Below are 27,601 nucleotides of genomic sequence, written 5' to 3' on the forward strand. Positions count from 1 at the left end.
TGTTTTCCACAGTAGTTGTACTAGTTTATATTCCCACCAGCAGTGTAAACGTGTTCCCTTTTCACTGGATCCACGCCAATATCTATTATTTTTTGATTTTTTGATTACGGCTATTCTTGCAGGAGTAAGGTGGTATTGCATTGTGGTTTTGATTTGCATTTCCCTGATCATTAGTGATGTTGAGCATCTTTTCATGTTTGTTTGCCACTTGTATATCTTCTTTTGAGAATTGTCTATTCATGTCCTTAGCATGCATTTTGATGTGATTTTTTTTTCTTGCTAATTTGTTTGAATTCATTGTAGATTCTGGATATTAGTCCTTTGTTAGATGTATAGTTTGTGAAGATTTTCTCCCACTCTGTGGGTTGTCTGTTTACTCTGCTGACTGTTCCTTTTGCTGTGCAAAAGCTTTTTAGTTTATTAAGTCCTAGCTATTTAACTTTGTTTTTATTTCATTTGCTTTTGGGTTCTTGGTCATGAAATCCTTGCCTAAGTCAACATCTAGAAGGTTTTTTTCGATGTTATCTTCTAGAATTTTTACAGTTCCCGGTCTTAGATTTAAGTCCTTAATCCACCTTGAGTTGATTTTTGTATAAGGTGAGAGATGAGGATCCATTTTCATTCTTCTATATGTGGTTTGCCAATTATCTCAGCACTATTTGTTGAATAGGGTGTCCCTTTCCCACTTTATGTTTTTGCTTGCTTTGTCGAAGATCAGTTGGCTGTAAGTATATTTGGGTTTATTTCTGGATTCTCTATTCTGTTCCATTGGTCTGTGTGCCTATTTTTATACCAGTACCATGATGTTTTGGTGACTATGGCCTTATGGTATAGTTTGAAATCAGGTAATGTGATGCCTCCAGATTTTTTCCTTTTGGTTAGTTTTGCTCTGGCTCTGTGGGCTCTTTTTTGGTTCCATATCAATTTTAGGATTGTTTTTCCAGCTCTGTGAAGAATGACGGTGGAATTTTGATGGGAATTGCATTGAATTTGTAGATTTCTTTTGGCAGTATGGTCATTTTCACAATATTGATTCTACCCATCCATGAGCATGAGATGTGTTTCCATTTGTGTCATCTGTGGTTTCTTTCAGCAGTGTTTTGTGGTTTTCCTTGCAGAGGTCTTTCACCTCCTTGATTAGGTATATTCCTAAGTATTTTAATTTTTTTGCAGCTATTGTAAAAGGAGTTGAGTTCTTGATTTGATTCTCAGCATGGTCACTATTGGTGTATAGGAGAGCTACTGATTTGTGTACTTTAATTTTGTTTCTTTTGTGTGTGTGTGTGTGTGTGTGTGTGTGTGTGTGTACGTTAATTTTGTATCCTGAAACTTTGCTAAATTCTTTTATCAGTCCTAGGAGCTTTTTGGAGGAGTCTTTAGTGTTTTCTAGGTATACAATCATATTATCAGCAAACAGCAACAGTTTAACTTCCTCTTTACCAATTTGGATGCCCTTTATTTCTTTCTCTTGTCTGATTACTCTGGCTAGTACTTCCAGTACTATGTCGAATAGAAGTGGTGAGAGTGGGCATTCTTGTCTTGTTCCGGTTCTCAGAGGGAATGCTTTCAACTTTTCCCCCTTCAGTATTATGTTGGCTGTTGTTTGTCATAAATGTCTTTAATTATATTGAGGTATGTCCCTTGTATGAGAGTTTTAATCATAAAGGGATGCTGGATTTTGTCAAATGCTTTTTCTGCATCTATTGACATGATAATGTGATTTTTGTTTTTAATTCTGTTTATGTGGTATATCACATTTATTGACTTGCATATGTTAAACCATCCCTGCATTTCTGCATTTCGGCATTCCTGGTATGAAACCCACTTGATCATGGTGGATTATCTTTTTTACATTTTGCTGGATTTGGTTAGCTAGTATTTTGTTAAGGGTTTTTGCATTTATATTTATCAGGGATATTGGCCTATAGTTTTCTTTTTTGGTTATGTTCTTTCCTGGTTTTGGTATTAGGGTGATATTGGGCTTTACAGAATGATTTAGAAAGGATTCCTGCTTTCTCTATCTTGTGGAATAGTGCCAATAGGATTGGTACCAATTCTTCTTTGAATGTCTGGTAGAATTCAGCTGTGAATCCATCTGGTCCTGGATTTTTTTTCTTGGTATTTTCTTTTAATTATCATTTCAATCTTGCTGCTTGTTATTCATCTGTCCAGGGTACCTAATTCTTCTTGATTTAATATAGGAGGTTTGTATCTTTCCAGGAACTTATCCATCTCCTCTAGATTTTCTAGTTTATGTGCATAAAGGTGTTCATAGTAGCCTCGAATAATCTTTTGTATTTCTGTGGTGTCAGTTGTAATATTTCCCATTTCATTTCTAATGTAGCTTATTTGGATTTTCTTTCTTTTTTTCTAGGTTAATCTTGCTAATGGTGTATCAATTTTGTTTATCTTTTCAAATAAGCAGCTTTTTGTTTCACTTATCTTGTGTATTTTTCTTCTTCCAATTTCATTTAGTTCAGCTCTGATCTTGGTTATTTCCTTTCTTCTGCTGGGTTTGAGTTTTGTTTGTTCTTGTTTCTCTATTTCCTTGGGGTGTGACCTTTGATTGTCTACTTGTTCTCTTTCAGACTTTTTGATGGAGGCATTTAGGGCTATGAACTTTCCTCTTAGCATTGCCTTTGCCATATCCCAGAGGTTCTGATAGATTGTGTCAGTATCATCATTCAGTTCGAAGAATTTTTTAATTTCCATCTCGATTTCATTGTAGACCCAATGATCATTCAGGAGCAGGCTATTTATTTATTTATTTATTTACTCACTTATTTATTTTTTATTTTTATTTTTTGAGATGGAGTCTCGCTCTGTCACCCAGGCTGGAGTGCAGTGGTGTGATCTCAGCTCACTGCAAGCCCCGCCTCCCAGGCTCAAGCAATTCTCCTGCCTCAGCCTCCCAAGTAGCTGGGTTTACAAGCATGGGCCACCACACCTGGCTAATTTTTGTATTTTTAGTAGAGATGGGGTTTCATCATGTTGGCCAGGCTGGTCTCAAACCCCTGACCTCAGGTGATCCAACCACCTTGGCCTCCCAAAGTGCTGGGATGACAGGCATGAACCACCATGCTCAGGCAGGAGCAGGTTATTTAACTTCCATGTATTTGCATGGTTTTGAAGGTTCCTTTTGGAGTTGATTTCCAGTTTTATTGCACTGTGGTCTGAAAGAGTACTAGATATAATTTCAATTTTCTTAAATTTATTGAGACTTATTTTGTGGCCTATCATATGGTCTATCTTGGAGAAAGTTCCATGCGCTGGTGAACAGAATGTATATTCTGTGGTTGTTGGGTAGAATGTTCTGTAAATATCTGTTAAGTCCATTTGTTCCAGGGTATAGTTTAAATTCATTGTTTCTTTGTTGACTTTCTGTCTTGATGACCTGTCTAGTGCTGTCAGTGGAGTATTGAAGTCCCCCATTACTATTGTGCTGCTATCTCATTTCTTAGGTCTAGTAGTAATAGTTTTATAAATTTGGGAGCTCCAGTGTTAGGTGCATATATATTTAGCATTATGATATTTTCCCATTGGACAAGGCCTTTTATTGTTATACAGTGTCCCTCTTTGTCTTTTTTAACTGTTGTTGCTTTAAAGTTTGTTTTATCTGATATAAGAATAGCTACTCCTGCTTGCTTTTGGTGTCCATTTGCAAGGAATGTCTTTTTCTACCCCTTTACCTTAAGTTTATGTGAGTCCTTATGTGTTAGATGAGTCTCCTGAAGGCAACAGATACTTGGTTGGTGAATTCTTTTCCATTCTTCAATTTTGTATCTTTTAAGTGGAGCGTTTAGACCATTTATATTCAAACAATCACTAATATTTGTGTGTTTACCTCTAGGATTTTAATGCACTTCTTAATATGGTGGTGATTAAAATACATAAACATTTTTGTGTCCTACTAAGATTATTTTGTATGTACATAAGGGTAATTAATTAGGTGACTAGGTTTATTTCCACTTTATATCTGGGGAATTACATATGCTCACATACACAGGATTTATCAGTGCACTATATCATTAAGAGATCATCACACACCACAATGAGCTATCATCTTTTTTTATTTTTGTGTGTGATATATGTATTTATTTTAATTTTTTACCTGAGATCAGTCTTACATGGATGAGTGTCTAGATGGATAAAGGACAAAAATTAAAGCAGTGTTAGTTACAGACAGCATTTAATATTAAATTATTTAATAGTAACTACATTAATATGCTCATCTAAAATCAGCTAATGGAGAGTTAAGCATTAGCAAGTCCTGTCTGGAGACTTAGCAAGAATTATCAGCTTCCTGATAGTCAACTTTTGGGTTGAAGAGGTTTTTCAATGGAAATGTGTGCATTTGATGAATGCTAATTACATGGTTCAAAATCTTCTTTAGCCAATCCGTTTGCAGCTGTTATCCAAGTTATTTTATAAATGTCTGAAACAGCTGTCAACATTCTGAGGGGAAGCTCTTCAATCAATGAATTGACAGAAATGCAATACTTAGATTTTTCTGAGCAGAAGGCAAGAGAACATAATATACATATCTTTAGTGATGTAGCCAGCAATGAAAGGGAACGATTGATACTGCCATTGTGTTTTAAAGTGTTGAAGAAAATGTTCATGCTCATGGGCATGGAAAAGATATTATAAGACTTGGATGGGAGACCCACAAAGTCAAATGGGGTGTTAGAGTGTCCTAAGGATACAAGCAAAGCAATCTTATTTTCCGTCAATAAGAATGCTTCTAGTGGTGTATAGCAACATTGTAAATCATATTTTAATTAAAATTTTAGTACTTGTTGATGTTATTTGTTTATTGTCTCAATAAAGCATTTTTAACAGATGACATCTGGACATTTTGCTTAATTTCTCTCTCTCTCTTTTTTCTCTATAAAATTCTTTAGTAAATCTAATTGTCGAGAAAGGCACCAGACTGACAGCTCTGGAAAATGAAGCCTTTTATTCAGCTTCAGAATTAGTGTATTCAGAAAAGAACTGCCTTTATGTGGCTATTGGCCTCAATTTCGCACTAGAGAGACTACTTCTTAAAAGAGGGCTTAGGTTACTTTTATTCTTGCTATAGTATTTGCTTCTTGGTTAAGGTTGCAGCCTTAAGTGGAAAAATGAGCAACTGTTAGGGCAATGCTTTCTGGATCCTCATGAATCAGAAATTACATTGAACCCACTATGTCATTCCATCTGCAAGTGATCCCAAAGTGATTCTTGAACCACCATGACCTACTTAAAAGTAACCCAATATTTTCCTTGCAAGAATGGGAGAATACCTTGTCGGCTCACATAAAAGGTATGGCATGCGACGATATGCCTGGAATTATAATGTAAGGATAAATGTGCATGCAGAAATCATGAGCTCTGTCATAAAAGAAAAATATAAAAAAATCTGAGCATCATATGTTGAGTAGCATGCTCACTGCCATCAGAGAAAAAAAGGCATAGAGCAGAGATTCCTATGCCCATTAGAATTACTTGGGAAACATTTAGAAATCCCAAAGCCCAAGTCATACCCCAGATCATTCAACTAGAATCTCTGGGCCTGGGACCACACATGTCTGTTTTCAACATATATCTTTTCAGCCTGTACATGTAGCCAGTGTTAAGAAACTTTGGCATAGAGAACAGTCTCAATATTGATGGCACTTGCAAAAAGATGTAGTTTCTTTCTTAAGATGTCTTTTGTTTATAATCTGGAAAACAAAACATTCTGCCCCTCAATACAATAACATGTTAATAGAAAAATGTCTTGCTTTTGGCAAAAAAAGTCATCCTTTTTTCCCCATTAATATATTACTTGGTATTTATTGAAAAATTATTTAGCTGGTGCAGGGACAAGCTATTAAGAATTTTGTGGAGATTTACATAGAGAATATTTTATTGTTTTGAAATATGAAATAGGAGGTTGCGGTGAGCCAAGATCACACCACTGCACTCCAGCCTGGGTGACAGAGTGAGACTCTATCTCAAAAAAATAAAGAAATAATTAAAAAATGAAAAAGAAAAAAGAAACAAAAATTTACTAGGGGTCGGGCTCAGTGGCTCATGCCAGCAATCCCAGTACTTTGGGAGGCCAAGGTGGGCATATTGCCTCAGTTCAGGAGTTCGAGACCAGCCTAGGCAACATGGTGAGACCCTGTCTCTACTAAAAATACAAAATATTAGCCAGGCATGATAGCTCACGCCTGTAGTCCCAGCTACTCAGGATGCTGAGGCAGGAGAATCACTTGAACCCGGGAGGTAGAGGTTGCAGTGAGCTGGGATTGCACCACTATACTCTAGCCTGAGTGACAGAGCGAGACTCTGTCTCAAAAAAAAAAAAAAAAAAAAAAAAGAATTCACTAGGGATTCAAAGGCAGATTTGAGCAAAAAGAAGAAAGAATAAGTGAACTTGAAGATGACACAATTGAAATTATTGAGTCTGAGCAACATGAAAAAAAAAGAAAAAAAAGATTGAGGAAAACTGAACAGATTCTAAGGGCTCAGTGGGACATCTAGCAGACCAATATATGTATTGTGGGAGTCTAAAAGAAGAAGAGAATGCAGCAGAAAAATTATTCATAGAAATAACGGATGAACTCTTCCTAAAGTTGACACGAATATAAATATTATATTTAGACATGAATATAAATATTCAAGAAACTTGGCAAACTCCAAACAGATGAACAGAGACCCACACCAAGGCAAATTATAATCAACTATAGAAAGCCAAAGGCAAAGAGAATCTTGAAAGCAGCAAAAGAGAATCAATTTGTCACATATTGGTATCCTCAATAAGATGGTCAGCAGATTTCTCATTGGAAACTTTAGAGGCCAGAAGTCAGTGGGCTGATATAGTCAAAGTGCTGAAAGAAAGACTGCCAACACAATCCTATCTTTAACAAAAATGTCCTTCAAAAATGTGGGAGAAATTAAGAGATTTCCAGATAAACAAAAGTGAGAAGTTTGTAATCACTAGACCTGCCCTTCAAGAACTGCTAAAAGGACTACTGCAGGTTGAAATAAAGGACAGTAGACAGGAACTCAAAGCTGTATGAAGAAATAAAGATGTCAGTGAAGGTAAATATGTGGGCAATTATAAAAGTTAGTGTTGTTGTAACACCAGTTTGTAACTCCACTTTTTGTTTTTGTACATGATTTAAGGAACTAATACATATTTTAAAATTATTAGTATAAAAGTTAGTATAATTGTAACTTTGATTTGTAACTTCACACTTTGTTTTCTAAATAATTTAAGAGACTAATGCATAACAACACAATTATCAGTTTGTGTTTTTGAACGCATAGTGTATAAAGATGTAATTTGTTACATCAATAACTATAAAAGGGTAGGGATTGAGCAGTTAAAGGGGAAGAGTTTTATTTGTTATTGAAGTTAACCTGGTATAAATTCAAACTAGTGTATTATAGCTTTAGGATGTTAAATATAATCTACATGGTAACCATAAGGAAAATATCTATAGAATATACAGAAAAGAAAATGAAAGGGCAATTAAAATGTTTCACCACAAAAAATCAATTAAAAACAAAAAAGACAGCAATTTGGGAAATGAGGAACAAAAGAATCTATAAGACATATAGAAAACAGGTTGGGTGCGGTGGCTCACACCTGTAATCCCAGCACTTTGGGAAGGCTGAGGCAGGTGGATCACTTGAGGTCAGGAGTTCAAGACCAGCCTGGCCAACATGGTGAAACCCTGTCTCTACTAAAAAACACAAAAATTAACCAGGTGTGGTGGCAGGCACCTGTAATCCCAGCTACTCAGCAGGCTGAGGCAGGAGAATCGCTTGAACCTGGGAGGCAGAGGTTTCAGTGAGCTGAGATCACACCACTGCACTCCAGCCTAGGTGACAGAGTGAGACTTTGTCTCAGAAAAAAAAAAAAGAAAGAAAACAAAGAAAAATGACAGAAGTCTCTCCTTATCAGTAACTACTTTGAATGTAAATGGATTAATTAAACTCTCCAATCAAAAGATAGAGATTAGCAGAATACAGAAAAAAATAAAATAAAACAATCCAACTACATGCTGTTTACAAGAGACTCACTTTAACTCTAGAGACATGAATAGATTGAAAGTGAAAGGCTGGAAAAAGATTTTTGATGCAAATAGTAACCACATAGCAGCACTATTCACCATAGCCCAAATGTGGAAGCAACCCAAGTGTCCCTCAGTAGATGAATGGATAAAAAATATGTGGCATATCCATACAATGGAATATTACTCATCCCTAAAAAGGAAGGAAATTCTGAAACATGCTACAACATGGATGAACCTTGAGGACATCATGCTAAGCAAACTGAGCCAGTCACAAAAATACAACTACTGTATGATTTCACTTGTATAAGATTCCTTGAGTTGTCAAATTGAAAGAGACACAAAGTAGAATGATAGTTGCCAGGGACTGAGGGGAAAGGTGGAATGGTGAGTTATTGTTTAATGGGCTCAGAGTTTCAGTTTTGTAAAATAAAAAGAGTTCCAGGAGGAACTCTTGGAAGGTGATAATGGTTGCACAACGATATGAAAGCACTTAATAGTACTAAATGTGCACTTCAAGATGGGTAAAGTGGTAAATTTTATGTTTTGTATATTTTACCACAATTTTTTAAAAAGATAAAATTAAAGAGACACCACTATCAAGCTGAGAGAGAAATGGTTTATGTGGAGAGGATAATAAGCCAATCAGGGAAAATGGCAAGGAAATGATGGAATATCCCAGCAAATTGTTTTTTTTTTTTCTAAATCCTCATTTACTCACTCTTGTTCTGAATTTGAAGAATAAACTTGATCCATCTGGCCAAAGGAACATTCCATGAAATGTGGATACCAATCCTTAGGGCAAATTAGTGTTTGTGGTGATGAAATTATTTCAAAAACTTTTAAAGGATTTTCTCATATTATTTAGAGTGCTTTAGATTTTTTTTCTCTCTCTCTCTCTCTCTGTGTGTGTGTGTGTGTGTGTGTGTGTGTGTATGTGGGAAGAACTTAAGAACATCTAAGAAATTTAAGAGATTATTCTGTTTTCTCGACCAATCTAGCTTGATAACATTTTTGTTTTCTTTTGAAGTATTTAATTTTCACGATATGAATAGGTAGCATTTTTTCTCTTTTTTGATGATAAAATAACACCTTTCCATTGTTAACATGTGTTTTTAGTGTTTAAAACATGCAAGCCAGTGCATCCAAACTTAACAGTTTCTGGTATGTTTTAAATCTAATTAGATCATTGTAAGACTCAAGGTAAAATATGAAAAACATAAATTATTGAATAATAAAAGTATGAATTTAGTTCTTAGTTACAAATCTAATTTTGACAAAAAAATCTTACACAGTGGAAGTCTGTAAAATAAAACATGGAGCTGTGTATAATGTGCAAGAAATTCACTTTAGGTGAATCTTAAAGGTGCTGAACTTCGGGTACTTCAATTAAATAATCATTACAATACTTCATTTACAGAAATACACAGCTGCTGGGTCTGCATGAAAAATAAAATGGAGGTTTCTACACATGTCTGAACAGAAAATAAAGCACCAATGAGTTTTTTTTTAGGAGAGGAAAAAAATCGGTTGTTCTTTATAAGTAAAAAATATGTAAGAAAAAAACCCTATTGTGAATATGGTCATAACGGACCATTTGCCAAACAACTGGCACTTCTCCTTGTTTAGCCTTCACCTGATATCTCAGAAACAAAGCTGAATCAAGGACTTGCTGCTCGAAACTGTCATTATGACCATTATAATCCAATTAATCATGCTGTGTTTGCCTTGCTTTTGAGAGCTAAGGTACCATTTTCTAAGGTTAAAAGGAAGGCATCTTCTGTGGGGGTAAAAATATTCAATGATAATTTGCTGTGCAGTAAAAATAGAGATGAACCCATTAGACAACCACACACAGTCACTGTAACAGCCAGTCCTTCCCCGAGTTAACTAAGCACCAAAATAAAGTTAGCTTTCAGTATAGAGAAAGTGCACAAAAACATATAAATTCTCAATTTGTATTGCACACATCCTCAATTAGAAAAAGGAAACTAAATGATAAAATTATAAAAGATAATATTTGGTTTGTGCAAAAGTTATTGTGGTTTTTGCCATTGAAAGTAATGACAAAATATAATATAAATATATTTTGTCATAAATATCTATATGACACCAAAAAAAATGGAAGAATATGAATGTTTACCACTGAAAGATGGTGGAGATAGGAGTAAAAGGCAACTGATGTGTACACAGTCACTCATTTTACCAAGTGTTTATTGATTGCCTTGTATGTGCCAGGCATATTTTGGGTTGGGGATACTATATAAACAAAACAGACATGGATCCTGCCCTCAAAGCATTTGAAAATGACCTCAAATTCCTCCCATCAAAACCATCTAGTAGACATTGAAGACCCCTCTGCAATATCCGCATTAAGTGGTTGTTACAAAAACTGTGGATTAGCTTGCTCAACATCCATTCCAATTCATTCCTTCAAAAACATTTATGTTCCAGGTTCTAGTCACCAGGCACTGTTTGGAAAATTGTTAGGAATTACAGCAATGAGTAAAACAGTTTAAAAAAATAACTTTCCTACTGTACAGTTAATGATGAAAAGTTAAAGACTCTCTTGCGAGCTAGAGTTCTAGACTTGATTTAATTTCTACTGATCAGAGACACTCACATGAGACTTCAATTTGGAACCGAATTAAGTAGGAATAGGTGGGCAGAGAATGAGGCATCCCTTGGCTGGTGCAGTTCATGGCAGAGGCCATGTCATTTCAGGGGCTAGAGGTGTTCCCAAAGTTCAGCTAAGGATTGACCCAGCTTCCCTTACAGTAATTTTATATGGTTAATACCTGGTATAAATTCCTTTCACTGAAACCAGTTAGAGCTCTTTCTGTTGCCTGCAGCTGACCACAATGGATGTGCCGTTTCTGACCCAATGCTTGTGCCTACTGTTTAGCAGAAATCTCTCTCTGCTGCTAGGATGGTGTGTGAATCTAAAATACTGACGATTTTTTGTGTGATTACAACATACACAAGAAACAAAAGATGGCAAAAGCTACAATTCCATTGCTTTTTTAACATTCTCTCTTTCCAATAATGAGCCAAATGTGTGTATATATATATATATTTTTTAATCTAGACGTTATGCTAATTTGTCCTATCAGTTTTAACTTCCCTGCTATAAACTGCATGAGCCTGTTGAATTTCTACATTGAACTCCAATTTTCACAACATAAACATTTTGCCCAACTGGATAAGAAGTTACAGAAAATATGAATATTCGACAAGTGCATGCCCTGAGGTCAGCAATCTATATCTAAATAGTGCTGGACACATAATTTAGATGACAGGAAAACATGGATTTGCCATATAAACAAAAATATTTCTAAGCTTCAAAGGTTATTAAGAAGGTAATGCTAATAGCTTGGTTGGAAAACTGATACGCTTATTTCAGGAAGTCTGTATTTCCCAGCATAAAATGTTCCTTTGAGTCTAAAGTCAAAATAACATCATGCAGGTGTTTACAATTTAATCACAGCAAACTCTGTTCATAAAGAGATGAGATAGTTTAATCACACACTAGGCTGTGATATGCTCATTGAAATTGGACACAATTTTAAATATCAGATATGATACTTGATTTTGGAAAACACTTGGAAAATGGGCCAAGAATGTTTCTCCAGTGGAAATAAGAAAGGTGGCATGCAAATGTTTAAGAATCTTTTAAGGTTACTGAAGAATAATTGTTAATCACATGATTTGATAAATTGAGACAGAAGATTCTACTTTGTAGGTACTATAAAATGGGATGGGTTAATTGCTTTCAGAGAGCATTTAGAAGTGGTTCTGCATAAGAGTAAAAAAATGAATTAGACAGTTTATTTTGATTTGCAACTCTATAAAACATTTAGGAAATAAAACCATCTTGAACCATTTGGCAGGAAGTAATGTTTTCCTTCTTGAACTCCCAACTTACTTTGTAAATTTTTTCATGACTCTATCATGGTCTTCCTAGGATTATCGTATTCATGTAAATATCTGTTCTTTTTCCATAAGCCAATAAGCCTCTCAAAGGCAGGTATCATCTTAACACCTAGATGGTTCTTGACAACACAGCCTTGCAAAGCATGTGTCACTAAATATTGGTTGATAAAGATAAAATCATCTTTGTGTAGATTAAATTCTTACTTTAATTCCTAAAGTACAAAATTTCTACTTTCCAGCAGGGCAGCAAAGTCAGCAGGAATGCTGGGCAGGATTGTCCATGTCTCCAAATTGTGAAATATCCAGTCCCCCAGTTGGCCTTCCTGGAAGAATCCTGGGGGTCTTAGAGCCCCAGCACTCTGATCCCTCATTGAGTAGGCAAAGCCTCAACAATTCTGGGGTTCATGTTTGCATCTGTCAAGTGTGCATGTGTTGAACTCATGATAGGCACTGTAGAAAGCAAGGCTGTCATGTGAACGTGGGAACACACCACGGGTGCTGGGGACATGGTGAAGGGACATTGTGTGATCAATCATAGCATCCAGGTTTAAATTTCACACACACCCCCAAAACACTGTTCAGGTCATAGAAACCATAGCTGAAGGGTTGCCAGATTTTCACTTCTAAAAAGCAACCTAGACAAATATAATCTCATGTCCTTACACAGGAGAAGACGGAGGTGATACCTGTGAGAACAGCGGGCAGAGTTAACCAGTGGGACTTGGGTGCTGAAGTAGGAGGACAAGTGAGCTGGGTCCCTGAAGAGAAGGGCTACATAGAGCAGAGGGCATGGATGAAGGCGAGGATGAGGGGCTAGGACTAGGAGGTGCCTCAGCTTCCTTACATCTAATGCAAGGATACTAACACTACCTTCCTCACAGGGACAGTGTTATGACTAACAGAGATAAAACCTTTAAGGTACTCAGTACAGTGCTCAATTAATGCCATTGAATTTATTTTTATTTTTATTTTTATTTTTATTTTTTTAGACTGAGTTTCACTCTTGTTGACCAGGCTGGAGTTCAATGTCGCAATCTCGGCTCACTGCAACCTCCGCCTCCCGGGTTGAAGTGATTTTCCTGCCTCAGCCTCCTAAGTAGCTGGGATTACAGGAAAGCACCACCACACCAGCTAATTTTGTGTTTTTAGAAGAGACGGTGTTTCACTTTGTTGGCCAGGCTGGTCTTGAACTCCAGACCTCAGGTGATCCACCGACCTCGGCCTCCCAAATTTCTGGGATTACAGACGTGAGCCACCACGCCTGGACACTGAATGTTATATAATGTTCTTGAAAATTTTTAATGTTATATATAATGTGTGTTGTTTATATGCACATATATGTATAATTTATGTTATTCTCTGTTGTATTTCTTAGAATTGCATCCCATGGTCTCTCTCAATCAATACTCTTTCTCTGATGGAGACACAAGAGATATGTCGCTCTTACCTTTGCTTCCTCAAAAGATCAAGAATGAGGCCAGGTGCAGTGGCTCATGCCTGTAATCCCAGCACTTTGGGATACCAAGGCAGGTGGATCACCTAAGGTCAGGAGTTTGAGACCAGCCTGGCCAACATGGGGAAACCCCATCTCTACTAAAAATACAAAAAAAAAAAAAAAAAAAAAAGATTAGATGGGCATGGTGGCGTGTACCTGTAACCCCAGCTACTCGGGAGGCTGAAGCAGGAGAATTGCTTGAACCCTGGAGGTGGAGGTTGCAGCGAGCCAAGATCGCACCACTGCACTCCAGCCTGGGTGACAGAGTGAGGCTCCATCTAAAAATAAAAACAAATAAATAAATTTTAAAAAAAGATTAAGAATGAAAATTGAATTGGCTGGGTGCGGTGGCTCACGCCTGTAATCCCAGCACTTTGGGAGGCCGAGGTGGGCGGATCACCTGAGGTCAGGAGTTCCAGACCAGCCTGGCCAACATGGTGAAACCCAATCTTTATTACAAATACAAAAATTAGGCGGGCGAAGTGGTGGGCGCCTATAACCCCAGCTACTTGGGAGGCTGAGGCAAGAGAATTGCTGAAACCTGGAAGGTGGAGGTTGCAGTGAGCCGAGATCATGCCATTGCACTCCAGCCTGGGCAACGAAAGCGAGACTCCCATCTCAAAAAAAAAAAAAAAAAGAATGAAAATTACCCACTTCAGAATGTTTCTCATTTTTGGGATCTGAATTACCATCTTCTACTGACTTATATTTTCAGGCTGCATCCACTTCTTAGGGACAATGTGATTTTTAAGTTGCCTCCCTGCTGTGTAATGTGGTACTTCCTCTCTTTTATGCTTGAAGCAGCCTCACTTCGGTTCTAGTTTTTGAAATTTGATTAAGTCTTATTCATTTTCACCATGCTCTTAATGATTTTATTGATTTTAGTTATATTCCTTATTCACGTTCATTTCTTTCATTCAGAAAGTCCTGTTATCCTGAATAAATCCAGTCTATAATTGTGGTCATTCAGTTCTCTTTTGCTAGATCTTCTTTACCTCTACTCTGTTCATCACAGGGGAGTCCCGCACTGACTCCAAATCCATGAATGAAAGAGATGTCCATAACACCATAGAAATTGTCTACACACTGTTATTTCAAATAGAGGAAGCACTCACAATCCCATCACCATTTCACAACAACTACTTTCATTGTCTACAAGCACTTTTAGGGGGCTGTTTGTTTGTTTGCTTTTTGAGATGGGATCCCACTATGTTGCCCAGGCTGCTTTCAAACCGCTGGGGTCAAGCCTTCTTAGGTATCTGGAACTACAAACGCACACTACTGTGCCTGGCCTGCACTTTAAAAAATAATAATAATAACAAAGTCTATGTAAAGTAATTACAAACATGGCCAAAGAAACACTGACCTTAAGCATATTGTCTCTGAACCTGGGTATGTTCGAAGTCATTTTCAATGCACAGCAAGTGGTATGATCAATCTACCTTTAGGTTTCATGTAAATTTGTTTTACTTTTGACAGCTAAACTTGGAGAAATGATGCTTCAAGCATCACAACAGCATTGACTGACAGCTCCCTAAGTGTTGTATCTTTTATAGCAAACATAATTGACAGCTCATAGCTAAAGAGCTGCATATGTGTATGGGTTTGGTCCACGCTGAGCACAGTGAAAAAAAATCAAAGAAGATACTTGCTGTATTTGTTTTTTATTAAGATTCAATTAACATGGTAAAATATATGCATCTTGGGATAGATTTACTTGTAGGCTAGGACAGGTTCCATTTTGAATAGTATAGAAGCTTAATATATAGCAATTATATACTAAAATTACCTCTAATAAATACTTTTAAATTTCAGTGAAATTTACATTATTCATTTTCTTACCCCGTATATATTTATTTAGCTGGGAGTGGTCTAGATCAGCAGTTCCCAACCTTTTTGGCACTAGGAACCGGTTTCATGGAAGACAATTTTTCCACCAATGGTGTTTGGCGGAAGGTTTCAGGATGAAACTGTTCCACTTCAGATCATCGGGCATTAGTTAGATTCTCATAAGGAGCACGCAACCCAGGTCCCTCGCATATGCAGTTCACAATAGGGTTCTCACTCCCATGAGAATCTAATGCCACCACTGATCTGATAGGAGGCAAAGCTCAGGCAGTAACGCTGGCTCATCTGCCACTGACCCACTTCTGTGTGGCCCGATTCCTGATAGGCCATGGACCAGTACTGGTCCATGGCCCAGGGGTTGGGGACCTCCGGCCTAGATAATTAGAGAGTTTTCAAGCTGTAGATTTAAATACCACTCAAGCTATCTTTTGTGGGTATCTTGCTGTGAGGATTGAGTTTAAAAATCTGGCCATTTTAAAAACAAGAATTCTGCAATTCCATTTCTAGGTATATACCCCAAAGAACAGAAAGCAGGGGCTTGAACGGATATTTGTACATCTATGTTCATAGCAGCATAACTCGTAATAGCCAAAAGGTGGAAACAACCCCAGTGACTATCAGTGGATGAATGAGTAGACAAATGTGTATATCTATACAATGGAATATTACTCAGGCTTCAAAAGGAAGAAAATTCTGACAAATGCTACAACATGGATGAACCTTGAAAACATTGTGCTAAAAAGAACAAAGCTGGAGGCATCACATTACCTGACTTCAAACTACACTGTAAGGCTACAGTAACCAAAACAACATAGTACTGGTACAAAAACAGACACATAGATCAATGGAACAGAATAGAAAACCCAGAAATGAAACCACACACCTACAATTATCTGATCTTCAACAAAGCTGACAAAAATAAGCAATGGAGAAAGGAATCCCTATTCAAGAAATGGTGCTGGGTTAACTGGCTAGCCATATGCAGAAGAATAAAATTGGACTCCTACCTTTCACCATATAAAAAATTAACTCAAGAGGGATTAAAGATTTAAGTGTAAGACCTCAAACTATAAAAATCCTAGAAGAAAATCTAGAAAATACCATTTTGGACATTGGCCTTAGATAAGAATTTATCTCTAAGTCCTCAAAAGCAATTGCACCAAAGCAAAAATTGACAAGTAGGACCTAATTAAACTAAAGAGCTTCTGTACAGCAAAATAAACTATCAACAGAGTAAACAGACAATTTACAGAATGGGTAAAATTTTCACAAACTGCACTTGACAAAGGACTAATATCCAAAATTTATAAGAAACATATTTCAGCAAGCAAAAAACAAATAACCACATTAAAAAGTGGGCAAAAGCATAACAGGCGCTTCCCAGAAGAAGACATACAACTGGTCAACAAATATATGAAAAAGTGCTCAACATCACTAATCATCAGAGAAATGCAAATCAAAATGACAATGAGATACCATCTCATGCCAGTCAGAATGGCTATTATTAAAAACTCAAAAAATAACAGATGTTGGTGAGGCCGCAGAGAAAAGGGAATGCTTATAACCTGTTGGTGGGAATGTAAATTTGTTTAGCCACTGTGGAAAGTAGTTTAGAGATTTCTCAAAGAACTGAAAATAGAACTATAATCTGACCCAGCACTCCCATTACCGGGTATATGTCAAAAGGAAAAGAAATCATTCTACCAAAAAGACAGTATGTTAATTGCAGTACTTTTTACAATAGCAAAGACATGGAATCAATCTGGATGCCTGCCAACAGTGGAGGGCTAAAGAAAATGTGGTACATATACACATGGAATACTATGCAGCCATAAAAGAGGAACAAAATCATGTCCTTTGCAGCACCATGGATGCAGCTGGAGGCCATTATCCTGAGTGAACTTACGCAGAAACAGAATACCAAATACTTCATGTTCTCACCTATAAGTAGAAGCTAAACGTTGGGTACACATGGACATAAAGTTGGGAACAACAGACACTGGGGACTACTAGAGGGAGGAAAGAGGGAAGGGGGTAAGGACTGAAAAATTACCTGTTAGGAACTATGCTCAGTGCCTGGGTGATGGGATTATTCATACCTCAGGCCTCAGCATCACATAATATATCCATATAACAAACCTGCACATGTACCACCAGATCTAAATAAAAGTTGGAAAAAAATGGCAAAATGAAAAAAAATTATGCATAGTGAAACAAGTCAGATACAAAAGGACAAATATCGTATATGATTCCACTTATATAAGGTACATAAAACAGTCAAACTCATAGAGACAGAAAGTAGAAGGTTGGGTGTCAGGGGCTAGAGAAAGGAGTTTGGGGAGTTAGTGTTTATTTATTATTTTATTATTGTTATTGTTTTTTTTTTTTTTTATCTGGATTTCGGCTCACTGCAACCTCCACCTCCTGGGTTCAAGCAATTCTCCTGCCTCAGCCTCCCGAGAAGCTGGGACTATAGGCACATGCCACCATGCTCAGCTAATTTTTGTATTTTTAGTAGAGATGGGGATTCACCACTTTGACCAGGCTGGTCTCGAACTCCTGACCTCAGGTTATCCGCCCGCCTCAGCCTCCAGAAGTGCTGGGATTACAGGCGTGAGCCACCATGCCCAGCCGGGAGTTAGTGTTTAATAGGTACAGAGTTGCAGTTTGGGAGAATGGAAAAATTCTGGAAATAGATGGTGGCAATGCTTCTACAACAAAGTGAAGGTACTTAACGCCACTGAATTGTATACTCAAAAATGGTTAAAATGGTAAATACTATGTTATATATTTTTATCACAGTAATAATAATAAAAAGTGTACAGGAATCTGCCAGATGAACAAGATGGAAAAGAACATTGCCAGTGAATTAAATATAATGAAATCTGACCTATTAATAAATTAAATATTGTAAACTAAAACAAACAAACCAAAATAAGAATCTTGAATTATTCAAAGGGCTTTGTGCTGGGTCTCACATCCAGAAACAATATGTTTTTATAGTGACCCAAAAATTTGCATTGCTAACAAGTTCCCAGGTATACAAGTTATCTATTGCTGCATAACAAATTGTCCCACATTTTAGAGGCTGACATGGTTCAGATCTGTGTCCGTCCCTGCCCAAATCTCATGTTGCATTGTTATCTCCAATGTTGGAAGTGGGCCTGGTAAAAGGCGACTGGATCATGAGAACAGATTTCTCACAAATGGTTTAGGACCATGAACTTGGTACTGTTCTCACAATAGCGAGTGAGTTCTCAGGAGATCTGGCGGTTTAAACGTGTGTGGCATCTTCCTACTCTCTGTCTTCCTCCTGCTCTGGGTGTCTGTTCCGCCTTCACCTTCTGCCATGATTCTCAGTTTTCTGAGGCCTCCCCAGAAGCCAAGCAGATGCCAGCATCATGCTTCCTGTACAACCTGAGGAACCATGAGCCAATTAGGCTTCTTTTCTTTATAAATTACTCAGTCTCAGGTATTTCTTTATAGCAATGCAAGAACAGCCTAATACAGTGGCTTAAAACAATGTTAATTATCTCACAGTTTCTGTGGTCCAAGTGCCTGAAATCAGTGGTTCTGGCTCAGGATCTCTCACAAGGTGGCAAGCAAGATGTTGACAGAGGCTGCAGTCACAGAAATCTGTGGCTGGGGGACCCACTTCCGAGATGGCTTATTGACATGGCTGTCAGCAAAAGGTTTGAATCCTCACTAGGTAGGCCTCTCATAGGGCTGTCTCGGGCATGACATCTGAGTTCTCCCAGAGTAGTTCCTTCAGCAGAGAAAGAGAGCAAGCAGGAAGCCACAGAACTTTTTGTGACTAGTATCCAAAGTTATACACCAAGACTTCCACTTTCTTCTGTTTTTCAGAGACAGGTTGTTAAATTCAGCTCATGCTCAGGAAAAAAGGTTCTACCTTTTGAAGAGAGAAATATCAAAGAAATTGGTGGATGTAAGAGTTAAAGACAGAGGAAAAGTGGCTCAACAGTCAAAGACAGGTTTATTCTGGAGAATAAACCTGAGAGGGGCTTCTCGCCAGTTTTGATCAGGCATACTCTCTCTTACAGACTAAATGTATTTAAGGGTTCAGGCAGAGAGCTTATCACAGGTTGGAATGTTGCTGTGTGGAGGAGAAGTTTATTGTGGGGTTGGAATGTCTCTGGTCGGAGGGGAGGTTATCTTGGAGCTGACATCTCTCCGACTGGAGGGGAGGTTATTTCAGGGCTGGCATGTCTCTGGTCGGGGAGGGGTTTATTTTAGGGTTGGAATGTTTCTGGTTGGAGATGTCATTTGTGGTTTATGGTCATGCTCACATTAGCTATTAGACTGATGCCCTTTGGGTTGGATTTAGGTGGTTTTTGATCAAGTGGAACTTTAAAATGGCCGTGCTTGTCGAAGATGGCAATGATCCTGCTCTGTCAGTGGACTTTTAAAGCCCATACACTAGATGTATTCCTGAGTCTGCTGTAACAAAGTACCATACACTAAATGGTTTAAACAACAGAGATTTATTGTCTCACATTTCTAGAGGCTAGAGAGCCAAGATCAAGATATCAACAGGATAGATTTCCCGTGAGGCCTGTGAGAGAGAATCTGTTCCAGGTCTCTTTCCCAGCTTATGGTAGCCTTGAGTGATTCTTTGCTTGAGGTTGGCCATCTTTTTCCTGTATCTTCACATTGCTTTCCCTCTCTATGTGTTTGACTTTGTGCCCAAATTTCCTTTTTTGTAAGGATGTGTCCTATTGAATTAGGGCTCATCCTAATCACTCTATATAACATAATTATTTCTGTAAAGACCTTATGTCCAAGTCAAGTCACATTAGGAGGTATAGCAGGTGGGACTCTACCATCTTTTTGTTGGACACAGTTTAACCAGGTAATGCTGATGCTCCTGCTCTGGGAACCACCCTTTGAGAATCACTGGTCTAATCTAACTCCCTGATTACACTGGTGAGAAATGTAGGGTTCCTCTAAGCTAAATGACATGCAAATGTCAGAGTGATTCTGTGGCAGGGTCAGATGAGAACCCTTATTTCTTGGTCCACATTTAAGGCACTTTTCATAAACCACTCAGTGTTTGGTAATCTTTGACCCAATGTTCTCTGAAGATCTCACTTGTCTGTGGAAACCAGTAAGTCTTTGTGTTTTTTTCCTAAGCTTAGATTTTTGTATTGATCCCCAAAGTTCTGCAGCTCCAGGGACACTTTTCAGGAATCCTGTAATGCAGGGCAGAGCAAGGGCATATCAATTTTTTTGAGGACTACATCATTTAGCTATGCTCACTAGGTAGGAAGAGGGGAGGAGGATGGGGAAGAGGTGATAAAGGAGACAGGAATAAGGAAATAAGGTATGAGGAACACAGGAGAAAGAAATTACAATTGTGCCAATTTACATTGGTGCCACAGCCTGCCATACCTTTCAGTGTGAGTCAGAGACAGATGCAAGGTGAAAAACAACTCTTCCTGTCAGAAGTATATAAAACAAGTATGTAGCATTTCAAGAATAATGGTAAGTTGCACACTTATGCATCCACCCGTCATCTAAAGATAAAAAACATTGGCACCTCCTGTACCCTTCTGGAGGCATTCTTCTCCCTTCTCCCAGAGGTATTTACTACCCTGGATTTTGTGTTTATCATTGTCTTGCTTTTCTTTACAGTTTTACTATGTAGGGATAAACCCTTAAACAATATCTTGCTTAGTTTTGCCTATTTTTTGTAAATGGAATCCTACTGTGGCTATGCATATGTGACTTCCTATCTTTTGCTCTACCTCAACCATATTCATATGTATAGTTAAGGTTCATTCATTGCCATTGCTGTATGGTGCTCCTTTATCCATCCATCCTCCTATCAACAGACAAGTTATTTTTGTTGTTACCAAAAAAAAATATTGCTATGAACATCCTAATACATGTCTCCTGATGCACTGTGCAAGACCTTCTGCAGGGTATATATCTAGGAATGTAATCGATGAATTGTTGGGTGTGCTCATCTTAAGTTGAATAGGTTACTAGTTATGTGGTTGATTTCATGAGAGTTGTACCAATTTACACTAGTATCAGCAGCATCTAATAGCTCCTGCTACCCCACATCTCAACAACACTTGGTGTTAGTACAACATTTTGATTTTCCTGATGTTCATTTAACAAGCTGACTTTAGAACAAAACCCTCACATTAGACATGACCCCACTATATTGGATTTTTAGGACCTAGGATTCCCGATGCCTACAATAGGTGCTCCATAAGTGAGAACAAAACGAAAAGAATCTAAGCTTTAGCCATTTGGTAAAGTACATTTTTTTTCTTTTCTTTCTTTTTTTTTTGAGACAGAGTCTCGCTCTGTCGTCCAGGCTGGAGTGCAGTGGTGCGATCTCGGCTCTCTGCAACCTCCGCCTCCCGGGCTCAAGTGATTCTCCTGCCTCAGTCTCCTGAGAAGCTGGGATTACAAGTATGTGCCACCGCTCCCAGCTAATTTTTGTATTTGTAGTAGAGACGGGGTTTCACCATGTTGCCCAGGCTGGTCTTGATCTCCTGACCTCAGGTGATCCACCTGCCTCAGCCTCCCAAAGTGCTGGGATTACAGGCATGAGCCACCACGCCTGGCCCCCTTTTTTCATATTTTAAAGATTAATCAGCACACTTCAATCTTTCCTATGTCTCCAAATTATGAACCTAATGTGAACACATAGCAGTGCATTTGTTCCCAAATTCAAAGGTTACACAGGAAATTTAATGCAGGAGTACAAGTATTGCTCCCAGAGGTGGAAAATATACTACGTTTGCTTTACTGTACGATCATGCATTCTGAGAAATGTGTCATTAGGTGATTTTGTCACTGTGCAAACATCATTGAGTGTAGCCACACAAATCTCAGTGGTGTAGCCTTCTATACATCTTGGCTGTATGGTACAGCCTATTGTTCCCAGGCTACAAATCTGCACAGCATGTTACCGGAATATTGTAGGCAGCTGTAACTCAATGGTAAGTAAATGTGTATCTAAACATAGAAAAGGTACAGTAAAAATACTGTATAAAAGGTAAAAATGGTACATTTGCATAGGACACTTACCATGGACAGAGCTTGCAGGGCTGTAAGTTGGTCTGGGTGAGTCAGTGAGTGAGTGGTAAGTGAATGTGAGGGCCTAGAACATTACTGTTTACTACTGTAGACTTTACAAACACAATACACTTAGGCTACAATAAATTTATTAAAAAATTACCTTTCTTCAATAAGAAATTCACCTTAGCTTATTTTAACTTTATAAACTTTTTGATATTTTTAAAGTTTTTAACTCTTTTGTAATAATACTTAGCTTAAAACATAAGCACACTGTACAGGTGTACAAAAGCATTTTCTTTCTTTATATTCGTTTTCTTATTCCTTATTCTATAAGACTTTTTCATTCTTTAATTTTTTTTTAGCTTGTTAAACATGTCTGTTAAAAACAAAGACACAAACACACACATTATCCTATACAGGGTCAGGATCACCAACATCACTATCTTTTACCTCCACAGTGTGTCCCACTGGAAGGTCTTCAGGAGCAATAAGACGTATGGAGCTCCTATGACAATAATGCCTTCTGGAATATCTCCTGAAGGATCTACCTGAGTTTGTTTTACAGTTAACTTTTTCTTTTTATAAGTAGAAGCAGTAGACTCCAAATTAACAATAAAAACTATGAGGTATAGCCTGGTAAATAAATAAACCAGTAACATAGTTCATTATCATGTATTATGTATTATACATAATTGTATGTCCTTTAATAGGACTGGCAGTGCATAGATTTGTTTACACTATCATCGCGACAAATGGGTAAGCAATGCGTTGTACTATTGTAGCAGGATGAGCCGCAGACAACAACCCCTCAGACACCGAGTTGTAGAAGGAAAGGGCTTTATTCAGCTGGGAGCATTGGCAGACTCACGTCTCCAAAAACCAAGCTCCCCAAGCGAGCAATTTCTGTCCCTTTTAAGGGCTTACAACTCTAAGGGGATCCATATCAGAGGGTCATGATCGATTGAGCAAGCAGGGGGTACCTGAGTGGGGGCTGCATGCACTGGTAATCAGAATGGAACATAACAGGACAGGGATTTTCACAATGCTTTTCCATACAATGTTTGAAATCTACAGATAACACAAGCAGTTAGGTCAGGGGTTGATTTTTAACTACCAGGCCCAGGGCCCAGTGCTGGGCTATCTCCCTGTGGATTCCATTTCTGCCTTTTAGTTTGTACTTCTTTCTTTGGAGGGAGAAATGGGGCATAAGACAATATGAGGGGTGGTATCCTCCCTTACTATGATGTCTTGATGGCTATAAGGTCATTAGGAGATAGGAACTTTTTAGCTCTATTATAATTTTATGGGACCACTGTCTTATGTGAAGGTCACTGTTGACCGAAACTGCATAATGCAGTGCATGACTGCATGCTAGTAAAGGACTGTGACATGAATTTCAAAAAAGGGAAAAATCTCCACCACTCCTAACCTTAATTTTAGTACTTAGTTCTTATATGGTCCAATATCAATAATTTTTTAATAGTATAAATCCTGCTTCCACATACTCACTGTTTTCTACTTGGTTAAATTTCCACAATTAAGATTTTAAAAAATTTTTAAATAATCTCACAATGTGTAGGAACTGCTGTTTAAAGACATCTATTTTAATGAGCTATAAAGTCTTGGTTCTCTGCTGCAAGCGGTGGCTCACGTCTGTAATCCTAGCACTTTGGGAGACCAAGGCGGGCAGATCACCTGAGGTCAGGAGTTCAAGACCAGCCTGGCCAACACGGCGAAACCCTGTCTCTACTAAAAACACAAAAATTAGCTGGGCATGGTGGTGGGCACCTATAATCCCAGCTACTCGGGAGGCTGAGGCAGGAGAATCGCTTGAACCCGGGAGGCAGAAGGTGCAGTGAGCCGAGATCACATCACTGCACTGCAGCCTGGACGACAAGAGCGAACTTCCATCTCAAAATAAATAAAATAAATAAATAAATAAAGTCTTGATTCCCAAATGCTAGTTTATCCATCCGTTGACAAAAAGAGTCGAACTCTGTAAAATATTTTGAAGAGATTTATTCTGAGACAAATATGAGTGATCATGGCCCATGACACAGTCCTCAGCAGGTCCTGAGAATTTGTGCCCAAGGTGGTCAGGGCGCAACTTGATTTTATACATTTTAGGGAGGCATGAGACATCAATCAAACACATTTAAGAAATACATTGGTTTGGTCCAGAAAGACCTGGGACTGATAGAAAGGGAATGTTCAGTTTAAGATAAAGATTGTGGAGACCAAAGTTCTCTGTAAGTCTTACAGTGGCTGCCCTTAGAGACAATGGATGACAAATGTTTCCTATTCAGATCTTAGTTAATCTCTTTAGGATTGGGAGGGTCTGGAAGAAAAAGATCTAGCTATGTTAATACAGATTCTTTACAGATGCATATCCCACCCCTCCAAGGACAGCTTTGCAGGGCCATTTCAAGATATGGCAAAGAAACATGTTTTGGGGTAAAATATTTTGATTTTCTTCCTTGTCTTGTAATGTTATGCCAGAGTCAGGTTGGAAAGTAAGTCACCATATATAGGGTTAAGTAAAACCCATCTAATAAGAATTTATGATTTGTAGGGCATGACTCCCCAAATCCTGTAGATAGGAATCTTGGGCAAGATAAAAAAATCAGAGTTTAGTCCTCCGACCTCTGCCAATTTCTCAAGATATCTTTTGCTAGTCTAAAAGCTAATAACAAAAAGAACAACAGGATGAGCATTTTATACAAGTAAATGTATTCCATTTAAAAGATTTTTCTTTATTGTGAAATTCTGCCATTCTACCTTTTTAATGCTAAAAAGTTCTGTTTCGTGAAATGATGGTGATAGTAGACGGCATTTATTTGCTTGACAACTTTGTATGATCTCAGATTTTCTGTGTGTTTTACTTTTACTGACCCTTCAAATCTAAGTGTGTGTAAACCCTTTTAAAGTGCGTTACTACATCATTTAGTATGTGTTTCGTAGAAAGCAACCTGGGAGTTAACTGCCAGGAGCACGCAAGTTTCAGAAAGCAAGACATACTCATCTCTATTCAACAATTAATCAGTTCTGATTGGGTTTCAAGTAAGGCTTAGTACCAACGCTTAGGGAGGGGCGTGCAAAAACGAGAAAGGTAGTGTTTGACCTTACCGGTTTAAGGTTTATCCTGTGCATTATACAGTTAAGAAACAACGCAGGAGAGTGCCAGGGAACCGAGAGGGGCTTGACAGTTGCTGCAGGAGAGTCTTGACTTGGAACCAGACGAACGTGGAAAGTTAGAGGAGGGGAAAACCCCTACTAGGATAAGGCAGACAGGAATCAAGGCTTGGAGCGCATCTGGGGCCCCGGCCGCCCTGCCCAGGTGGAGGAAGAGCCGGCTCGAGGTGCAGCAAGGGGGCTGGGAAGGAAGGGCTGGCTAAAGCGCCACGTGGATGTGAGTGCCAAAGAGACTAGGAGAGCGTGGAAGTGAGTCCCGAAGAGACTGAGTTCAGGACGTGAAGAGAAAGAGGCCGAGAAAAACGACCCACCAGCGATCCTTCTTGAGGTCGACACCGAGCAGGGGTGGAGTCGGATACGCCCCGCGGACACCATGCACCCAATCAGCGACGAGCTGTCGCGGATCGCGGGACACGCCCCCTGATCCAAAGGCCCGAGAAGCTCTTGCACAGGACAGCCTCTGGAACCCCGCGCCATTAGCGCCTGCGCCGTCTCTAGGCCCCGCCCCCTCACCCCTCCGGTCCTGGAGCTCCCACAGCTAACATGGCGGCGCCCTGTGTGTCCTACGGCGGAGCAGTTTCGTACCGGCTTCTTCTCTGGGGTAGGGGTAGCCTCGCCCGGAAGCAAGGCCTCTGGAAAACCGCGGCCCCTGAGTTGCAAACAAATGTCAGATCCCAGGTAAGGCCTGGGAAGACTGGAAGCGGCTTACCTCTGCCGCGCGAGGATGTGGAGCCAGCGCGGACACCTTCCCCCAGCGTCTCGCGTGCCTTCAGGCAGGGACTCTAGGATCTTAGGTATTTAGTGGAGGTCTGAGGTTGGGGGGGAGGAGGTGGGTATTGGCGTGCAGTAGCCGCTCTAGAGGTTGTTACTTGTTTTTTTGCGGGGTGCAGCGAGGGGAACTTACCTGAAGGTAGAAGTGGAGCGACCTCCTCCTTCATTTGGCTGCTGAGCTAAGTAAGGGTCGGTGCCTAGGTCTGTGTTGGGTCCAGTCCTACCCTGCCCTGCTGTCTAGGGAGGAGGAGGGCCGCGCCAGAGAAGAATGATGGGAATTGGATTCCTGCAGGTGCCTGGAAGACAATGGAGAAAGTCACGTTGTGTAGAGGACAGTGACTTTTTGAAAGTGCCTTCAATATGCGCAATTTCTGGCTTCTTAATTTTCCCGAATCCCCCTCTATGGAAAGATGCAGGCCAGAACTTGTACGTTTCGTTTAATCCAGGGAGAAGTGGGGAGTCAACAGCTGGATGGCTGATGATGCCAGTTTACTGACATGCGATCTCAGAGCAGGAAAAAGATTTGAGAGGGAAGAAACGAGTTTAGTATGGGATTATGTTTTTAGGCATCTGGGATTTCCAGTAGGTCTACGGATAGTCAAGTGTATAGCTCAGGAGGAGAACTGATTTCGAAATGCCCTGTTACCTTGTAAATGGTAACTGAGGCCTTGTAAACAAATTAAATTACCTAGGGAGAGTGTACTGAGGAGTAGGCAGAGGGACAGGGCCCTGAAGGACAAATAAGAAATAAGAGGCCTCAAGAGATTGAGAATGAGGGACCAAAGAAGCAGGAGAGAAACCAGCCAGTGTGGTGTCATGGAAAACAGGTGAATGTTTCAAGGAGGGAGAGTGATAACAAGTACCAATTATTGCAGGAAAGTCAAATACCATACTTTAAAAACTATATTTAAAAAAAAAAACATCTTTTTGTATGTTCTTTCCTTTATATTTTAATCTAGATCAACCAGTCCATTCTATCTATTCATGTGGACATTTGTTTTTTTTTTTTTTCTTACTGGAAAATGTGCTAGAAATTTTTATTTTTTCATGCATCTCTTTGAGTATATCTTTGCTACATACGCATGATTATGAGAGGGACTATATCATACAGAGTATTTTTATTGTTGACATTTAATGTATGTATTGGGGGATGGCTAACTTTCTGTCCCTCCTGGTATCTATTCTTCTATGTTTTTTCCATGTTCTTATAATCATGCATAAACATACATGCACAGGTGTACTTTACAAAAAATGGTAC

General features: G+C 38.8%; 1 protein-coding gene and 1 long non-coding RNA gene across 3 annotated transcripts in view, besides 6 other annotated features; one reads left to right on the forward strand and one right to left on the reverse strand.

Moving 5' to 3' along the window:
* Nucleotides 1–26,519, reverse strand: part of MRPS9-AS2 (MRPS9 antisense RNA 2) — a 102,256-nt gene extending 75,737 nt beyond the window's left edge. Inside the window, exon 1 of the long non-coding RNA NR_110603.1 lies at nt 26,477–26,519. This is a non-coding gene — a long non-coding RNA (MRPS9 antisense RNA 2). The remainder of the gene's footprint in view (nt 1–26,476) is intronic.
* Nucleotides 25,499–25,708: an enhancer, noted in NCBI's record as "active region_16309". NCBI's record gives its function as "activates an Ori minimal core promoter by ATAC-STARR-seq in GM12878 lymphoblastoid cells {active_cell/tissue: GM12878}" and the evidence as "EXISTENCE:reporter gene assay evidence [ECO:0000049][PMID:35858748]".
* Nucleotides 25,729–25,778: an enhancer, noted in NCBI's record as "active region_16310". NCBI's record gives its function as "activates an Ori minimal core promoter by ATAC-STARR-seq in GM12878 lymphoblastoid cells {active_cell/tissue: GM12878}" and the evidence as "EXISTENCE:reporter gene assay evidence [ECO:0000049][PMID:35858748]".
* Nucleotides 25,829–25,878: an enhancer, noted in NCBI's record as "active region_16311". NCBI's record gives its function as "activates an Ori minimal core promoter by ATAC-STARR-seq in GM12878 lymphoblastoid cells {active_cell/tissue: GM12878}" and the evidence as "EXISTENCE:reporter gene assay evidence [ECO:0000049][PMID:35858748]".
* Nucleotides 26,049–26,378: an enhancer, noted in NCBI's record as "active region_16312". NCBI's record gives its function as "activates an Ori minimal core promoter by ATAC-STARR-seq in GM12878 lymphoblastoid cells {active_cell/tissue: GM12878}" and the evidence as "EXISTENCE:reporter gene assay evidence [ECO:0000049][PMID:35858748]".
* Nucleotides 26,049–27,074: a biological region, named in NCBI's record as "H3K27ac hESC enhancer GRCh37_chr2:105654567-105655509".
* MRPS9 (mitochondrial ribosomal protein S9) overlaps nt 26,092–27,601 on the forward strand; it is a 61,892-nt gene continuing 60,382 nt past the window's right edge. For both annotated transcript variants that reach the window (NM_182640.3, XM_047445533.1), the window contains exon 1: nt 26,092–26,250. In NM_182640.3, coding sequence (NP_872578.1) covers nt 26,116–26,250 — 135 coding nt within the window. In that variant the 5' untranslated portion in view covers nt 26,092–26,115. The remainder of the gene's footprint in view (nt 26,251–27,601) is intronic.
* Nucleotides 26,132–27,074: an enhancer, noted in NCBI's record as "H3K27ac hESC enhancer chr2:105654567-105655509 (GRCh37/hg19 assembly coordinates)". NCBI's record gives its function as "activates a minimal SCP1, AML or CMV promoter by ChIP-STARR-seq in primed H9 embryonic stem cells {active_cell/tissue: H9 hESC(primed)}" and the evidence as "EXISTENCE:reporter gene assay evidence [ECO:0000049][PMID:30033119]".

Source organism: Homo sapiens, chromosome 2 (assembly GCF_000001405.40).
Source record: "Homo sapiens chromosome 2, GRCh38.p14 Primary Assembly".
Taxonomy (NCBI): domain Eukaryota; kingdom Metazoa; phylum Chordata; class Mammalia; order Primates; family Hominidae; genus Homo; species Homo sapiens.